The sequence below is a fragment of the Homo sapiens genome, chromosome 8 (assembly GCF_000001405.40).
Source record: "Homo sapiens chromosome 8, GRCh38.p14 Primary Assembly".
Lineage (NCBI taxonomy): Eukaryota > Metazoa > Chordata > Mammalia > Primates > Hominidae > Homo > Homo sapiens.
Window position 1 is genome coordinate 57,101,953 of NC_000008.11, and position 8,144 is coordinate 57,110,096.

The window sequence follows — 8,144 nt, forward strand, 5'->3', positions numbered from 1 at the left end:
CATTTTATATATACACACATATATGTATATATACATATACATATATATATATCACAATTTATTTATTCACTCTCTGATTGATGGGCCTTTTGGCTGTTTCCATATTTTTGCAGTTGTGAATTGTGCTACTATAAACATGCGTGCACAAGTATCTTTTTCATATAATGACTTCTTCTACCTCACCCAGTAGTGGATTGCTGGATCAAATGGTAGTTCTACTTTTAGTTGTTTAAGGAATCTCTACACTGTTTTCCATAGTGGCTGTACTAGTTTACATTCCCACCAGCGGTGTAAACGTTTTTCCTGATCACCACATCCATGTCAATATCTATTATTTTTTGATTTTTTGATTATGGCCATTCTTGCAGCAGTAAGGTGGTATCAAATTGTGGTTTTGTTTTGCATTTCCCTGATCATTAGTGATGTTGAGCATTTTTTCATATGTTTATTGGCCATTTGTATATTTTCTTTTGAGAATTCATGTCCTTAGCCCACTTTTTGATGAGATTCTTTGTTTTCTTGCTGATTCTAACAATGCATCTTAAGGAACTAGGAAAGTGAGAGCAAATTAAACCCAGAATTAGAGAGAATAAAATAAATAATAAAGATCAGAGCAGAAATAAATGAAATTAAAATGAAGAAAACAATACAAAAGATCAATGAAACAAAAAGTTGGTTTTTTGAAAAGTTAAACAAAATTGAAAAATGTTTAGTCAGACTAAGAAAAAAGAGAGAGCAGATCCAAATAAATAAAATCAAAAATGAAAAAGCAGACATTATAACTGATACGGCCAACATTTAAAGGATCTTTAGTGGCTACTATGAGAAACTATATGCCAATAACTTTGGAAATCTAGAAGAAATGGCCAAATTCCTAGACACATACAACCTTCCAAGACTGAACCAGGAAGAAATCCAAACTCAACACAGACCAATCACAAGTAATGAGATTGAAGCCAGAATAAAAAGTCTTCCAGTAAAGAAAAGTCTAGGACCCGATGCCTTCACTGCTGAATTCTACCAAACATTTAAGAACTAATACCGATCCTACTTAAACTACTTCAAATACCAGGGGGAGGGAGCACTTCCAAACTTATTCTACAAGGCCAGTATTACCCTGATACCAAAACCAGACAAAGACACATCAAAACAAAAACAAAAACAAACAAGAAAAACTACAGGCCAATATCTCCAATGAATACTGATGCAAAAATCCTCAACTAGCAAAAATACTAAGAAACTGAATTCAACAATACATTAAAAAGATCATTCATCATGACCAAGTGGGATTTATTCCTGGGATGCAAGGATGGTTCAACCTATGCAAATCAATCAATGTGATACAATCAACAGAATGAAGGATAAAAACCATATGACCATTTCAGTTGACACCGAAAAGGCATTTGATAAAATTCAACATCCCTTTATGATAAAAATCCTCAAAAAACTGGGCATAATAGGAACATACCTCAACATAATAAAAGTCATATACAACAGACCCACAGTTAATAACTTACTGAATGGGAAAAACTGAACACCTTTCCTTTGAGACATGGAACATGTCATAGATGTCCACTGTCACCACTGTTATTCAACATAGTATTGCAAGTCCTAACTAGAGCAATCAGACAAAAGAAAGATATAAAGGACATCCAAATAGAAAAGGAAGAAGTCAAATTATCCTTGTTTGCTGATGATATGATCTTTTATTTGGAAAAAAAAACCTAGACTCCACAAGAAATTAGAACTGATAAGCAAATTCAGCAAAGTTGCAGGATACAAAATCAACATACAAAAATCAATAGCATTTTTGTATGACAACAGTGAATAATGTGGAAAAAGAAATTAAAAAGTAATCCTATTTACAATAGGCACATGTAAAATTAAATACCTGGGAATTAATTCAGTCAAAGAAATGAAAGATCTCTATAATGAAAACTATAATAACTGATAAAGGAAATTGAAGAGGACACCAAAAAATGGAAAAATTCATGAATTGGAAGAATCAATATTGTTTAAACATCCATAATACCCAAAACAATCTACAGATCAAATGCAATCCCTATCAAAATGCCAATGAAATTCTTCACAGAAATTTTTTAAAATCCTAAAATTTAAATGTAACCACAAAGGACCCAGAATAGCCGAAGCTGTCCTAAGCAAAAAGAACAAAACTGGAGGAATCACATCACCTGATTTCAAATTATACTATACAGCAATATTAACCAAAACAGCATCGTGCTGCCATAAAAACAGACACATAGGCCAATGTAACAAAATAGAGAACCTGGAAACAAATCCACATAGCTACAGTGAACTCATTTTTTAAAAAGGTGCCAAGAACATACTATGGAGAAAAAATAGCCTCTTCAATAAATGGTGCTGGGAAAGTTGGATATCCATATACAAAAGAATGAAACTAGAACCCCATCTCTCGCCATAATCAAATCAAAAGAGATTAAAAGCTTAAATCTAAGGCCTCAAACTATGAAACTACTACAAGGTAACATTAGGGAAAATCCCCAGGACATTGGTCTGGGCAAAGATTTGTTGAGCAATACCCCACAAGCACCAAAGCAACCAAAGCAAACATGGACAAATGGGATCACATCAAGTTAAAAAGCTTCTGCACAGTGAAGGATAAAATCAACAAAAGGGAGAGACAACCCACAGAATGGGAGAAAATGTTTGCAAACCAAGCTGTTGACAAGGGAATAATAAGCAGAATATATAAGAAGCTCAAACAACTCTACAGAAGAAACCTAATAAACCAAACAAAAAAATGTGCAAAATATTTGAAGAGACATTTCTCAAAGGAAGACATACAAATGGCAAAGAGGCAAATGAAAAGCTGCTGAACATCATTGATCATCAGAGAAATGCAAATTAAAACTAAAATGAGGTATCATCTCACTCCAGTTAAAATGGATTATATCCAAAAGACAGGCAATAACACATGCTGGCAAGGATGTGGAGCAAAGGGAACCCTCATACACAGTTGGTGGGAATACAAATTAGCATAACCACTATAGAGAACAGTTTGGAGGTTCCTAAAAAAACTGAAAATAGAGCTACCATATGACCCAGTGATCCCACTGCTGGGAATACCCCCAAAAGAAAGGAAATAAATATATTTAAGAAATATGTGCACTCCTATGTTTGTTGCAGCACTGTTTACCATAGCTAAGATTCGGTAGACACCTAAGTGCCCATCAACAGATGAATGGATAAAGAAAATGTGGTACTTATACACAATGGAGTGCTATTCAGCCATAAAAAAGAATGAGATCCAGACCGGCATGGTGGCTCATGCCTATAATCCCAGCACTTTGGGAGGCCAAGGTGGGTGGATCACGAGGTCAAGAGATTGAGACCATCCTGGCCAACATGATGAAACCCTGTCTCTACTAAAAATACAGAGATTAGCTGGGCGTGGTGGCACACCCTGTAGTCCCAGCTACTTGGGAGGCTGAGGCAGGAGAATGGCTTGAACCTGGGAGGCGGAGGTTGCAGTGAGCCAAGATTGCACCGCTGCACTCCAGCTTGGCAACAGAGCGAGACTTCATCTCAAAAAAAAAAAACAGAAAAAGAATGAGATCCAGTCATTTGTAACAACATGGATGGAACTGGAGATCATTATGTTAAGTGAAATTAGCCAGGCACAAGAACATTGCATGTTCTCACTTATTTGTGGGATCTATAAATCAAATAAACTGAACTCATGAACATAGAGAGTAGCAAGAAATTACCAGAGGCTGGGAAGGGTAGTAGAGGACTAAGGGAGAGGTGGGGATGGTTAATGGATACATAAAAAATAGAAAGAATGAGTAAGACTTACTATATGATAGCACAATGGGTGACTATAGTCAACAATAACTCAATTGTATATTTTTAAATAATTTCAAGAAGGTAATTAAATTGTTTGTAACTCAAAGGACAAAGGCTTGAGGAAATGGATACCCCATTCTTCACATTATATCCCTGTATCAGAACATCTTATGTACCCCATAAATATATACGTCTACTATGTGCCCACAAAACATTTTAAAAATAATTTAAAAATTTTTTAAAGAAAATAATTGTGAATAAATTTCACAATTACAATAATGATACTACCATTTAAAAATGTACAATACAGTTCTTTCACTGATCTCTTGGCTCATCATTTAAATAATTTTAATGATACAGTACTTCTTGAAACTCTAAAGGTACAAATGGGACATGCCCTATGCTCCCTACAAGTATGCAAGGTCAACTGTAAATGACAAAGAGGTAGCAAGAGTGTCAGCATCAGTGCACATAAATTCATATATCAAAGTATATTTTTCTTTCTTGTCTCTTAATTGATGCACTTAATGAACTCTTATGGACACTGCCCATTGCATAAAGTCAAAGATGGCTGGTTAGGTGATAATAAGTGTAAGCTATTATGTGAAGTTCAAAGGAAGTTGTATTGCACTGAAAGTGTTCCTCTGTGAAATCTATATTTTTATTTTATGTTTAGGAAAATTAAAAAGAAAAAAATGCACCACAGGAATCATTGTCATGACATGCTTTTCATATTCTTTTAAAAAACAATCCATCTGTTTTGGCTTCCAGAAAATCTGCCAAGAAATAAAGATGTTGTAATTAACTGTAATGAATATGTTAACAGGAAATATCCACTAAGCTAACACATCATCTTGTCATGCCCTAATGTAATGTACTCCTGGCATTAATGAGAAAGCATTCAAGGAAGGCAGATAAGCTTGAATGCACTTTTAACTGGTCATGCAGCAGTTTTTAACTGCTTGAATTTTGAGACCTTCTTTAAACTTAGACCAAAAGTGTTCTAAGGACTGTTGTTTGGCAGCTGCATTCCTGTAGCATACTATTGATAAAATAGACCAAAAAACATAGGATATTCTGTCCAGGGGATCTCAGTATTTGAATACTGGCTCGATTACCTACTAGTTATATGATAGGGTAAGTTATTTAAACTTTCTGAGGTTTAATGACCTCATTTGAACCATAGGGAAAGTAAAAGTTGTCTTAGAGGGTTTTGTGAAGATTACAAGCAATTAGTGTATGTGAAATGAAGACTCATTAGATCTATTCAGTAAATATTACTTTCCTTTTTCTATATAAGACTATTTATGCATATTTAACCATAGCACCAAATCAACACTCGGCGCAACTTAATATTTTTTTGACAGTATGGAGTTGAAAGGGACTATAGGGCTCTTCTTCCTGGGCAGCTCAGTGGTTCTGCTGTGCTCCCATATAAACAAATGACAATCTAAAAATTACACTAGGGACAATTATCTCTAACTATGTTGGGTTTACTCAGAAGTAAAAATAAGGATTATAATCTGAAATGCACGAAATGGCAAGCCACCAGTCCATTCAGTGAGAGGGTTGTATGGGGACCTTTCACCAGCTAAAAAGAGATTTACTAAGCTGCTTAGAATCAGAGTCCATTGGTTCCAGAGGTTCAAAGCCAGACTGGTTGTCAGTTCATTGGCGGAGATGCCCTTACTGGGCAAGTGTTCTAAGAAAATCTTATCTGAATACTGCAGTTCTAATGTCTAGTGATAAAGCTTATCCAAACAAAATATGCATGAAGGACATGAAAGAGTTTTTAGAAAGTCCTTGGTTCACATTTCAGACACATAAACATGAGTCTTCCCTCTTTTGGGCCTTCCCAGACCTATATTTTCTGGATCTGATGAAAGGGATTCCATCCTGGTATATGCAACTTTCACGCAGACGTTAGAAACCAATACAGTGCAGGTGTTATGAGCCTTTGTTACCACTGAGGGCAGCATGTGGATCCCACAGGTAGGGCACTGTAGTGGTTTGCTATTGTGAATAACTAATTGTCATAAATTCAGTGCTTATAAAAACACTCATTTAATTTCCTGTTTCTATGGGTCAGGAATGGGCCTGGCTTGATTGGGTCATCTGCTCAGGGTCTCCCAAAGCTGCAGTGAAGGTGTCAGCTGCACTGTCGTCCTTGCCTAGAGTGTGGGGTCTTCCTCCAAGCTCATTTTCATGTTGGTGGACTTAAGTTCTTTGTGGTGATACAATTGAGGCTTTCAGCCTAGACAAAGCCCCTCTCCATAGGTGGTTTATACCATGGCTGTTTGCTTTCTTCTCTGAGGCCCCCAGGAGAGTGTGTCTTGGATGCTTCACCTTCTCTCAAAGGCTCCTTTCATTATGCCAGTGTTATCCAGGATTATACTGCTTTTGAACTCAAAGCTAATTGATTATTGGTTAAATCATAATACTGATACTCCAATATAGTCCATTCCACACTCAAGGCGAGGGGATTCTCAGTACATGTGCAAGACAGGCACACATCTTGGAATTCTGCCCACTACAGTCATGTGGCCAGGGCCAGTGAGACATCTTCAGAAAAAAGGCAATCTTCAAAGTGATCTTAGGCTGTGATTCTCAAAGAAGATCTGTGCTTTTTGCTGATAAACTACATTTAATCTGAAACGGCCACAGCATTCTCAGTGTTAGTTGACTGGTGGCTATAGACGCTGGAATTACCAGACTGACTGATTTGATATGCAACCATCAGGAGCAAAATTTTCATTTTGAGTAAAGTTTAAAGAGCTGAGCTAGAGGAGAAAAATCTGTACACCAGATATACTCTTAGACATTCGCTATATATGATTTGATTTTAAATCCACCACCATCTGAGACTGGTTTTATTTAAGAGGAGGAAATCAAATCTCAGAGGGAGTGACTTATCAAAGGCCATGCAGCAAGTTAGTCAATGTGAGAGATGGGGTTTGAACATGTGTCCTCTTTCCTCAGCCCAGGATTTTCCAAGATAACATCTACTTTTCCTGTTAACAGCAGGGTTAGCTGCACATAGAATAATTTTTTTTTTGCATGCATGCTTCTTACTATAGACATTGATCGTTCTTCAAAGTACTCTTCAGCTCTTCATGCACATGTAAAGTGCACAAAAGAAAAATAAGATAGTTAAGCAGGAAACATTCCCTCTGAAAACCGGCACAATACTATAGTATTGCACAACATAGTATTGCACAACATGGTATTGCAAGTTCTGGCCAGGGAAATCAGGCTACAGAAAGAAATAAAAGGTATTCAAATAGGAAGAGAGGAAGTCAAATTGTTTCTGTTTGCAGGCAACACGGTCTTATATCTAGAAAACCCCCTCATCTCAGTCCGAAAGCTCCTTAAACTGATAAGCAACTTCAGCAAAGTCTCAGGACACAAAATCCATGTGCAAAAATCACAATCCTTCCTATACACCAACAATAGACAAGCAGAGAGCCAAATCATGAATGAACTCCCATTCACAATTGCTACAAAGAGAATAAAATGCCTAGGAATACAGCTAACAAAGAGGACATGAAGGACCTCTGCAAATGGAACTACAAACACTGCTCGAGGAAATAAGAGAAGACTCAGACAAATGGAAAAACGTTCCATGCTCATGGATAGGAAGACTCAATATAGTAAAAATGGCCATATTGCCTAAAGTAATTTATACGTTCAATGCTATTCCCGTAAAACTACCATTGACATTCTTCACAGAATTAGAAAAAACTACTTTAAAATTCATATAGAACAAAAAAGAGCCTGTATAGCCAAGACAATCCTAAGCAAAAAGAACAAAGCTGAAGGCATACTGTTATCCCACTTCAAACTGTACTACAAGGCTACAGTAACCAAAACAGCATGGTGCTGGTACAAAAACAGACACATAGACAAATGGAACAGAATAGAGCTCTCAGAAATAAGACCGCACATCTACAACCAACTGATCTTCCACAAACCTGGTGCAAACAAGCAATGGGAAAAGGATTCCCTAGTTAATGAATGGCTAGCCATATGCAGAAAATTGAAACTGGACCTCTTCCTTACACCTTATACAAAAATTAACTCGAGATGGATTAAAGACTTAAATGTAAAACCCAAAAGCATGAAAAACCCTAGAAGAAAATCTAGGCAATACCATTCAGGACATAAGCATGGGAAAAGATTTCTTGACTAAAACATCAAAAGCAATTGCAAGAAAAGCAAAAATTGACAAATGGGATCTAATTAAACTAAAGAGCTTCTGCACAGCAAAAGAAACTGTCATCAGAGTGAACAGAAAACCTATGGAACGGGAAAAAATT

At 36.5% G+C, this 8,144-nt stretch overlaps 1 annotated feature.

The window, feature by feature from the left end:
• Nucleotides 5,783-6,369: an enhancer, noted in NCBI's record as "NANOG hESC enhancer chr8:58020294-58020880 (GRCh37/hg19 assembly coordinates)". NCBI's record gives its function as "activates a minimal SCP1, AML or CMV promoter by ChIP-STARR-seq in naive H9 embryonic stem cells {active_cell/tissue: H9 hESC(naive)}" and the evidence as "EXISTENCE:reporter gene assay evidence [ECO:0000049][PMID:30033119]".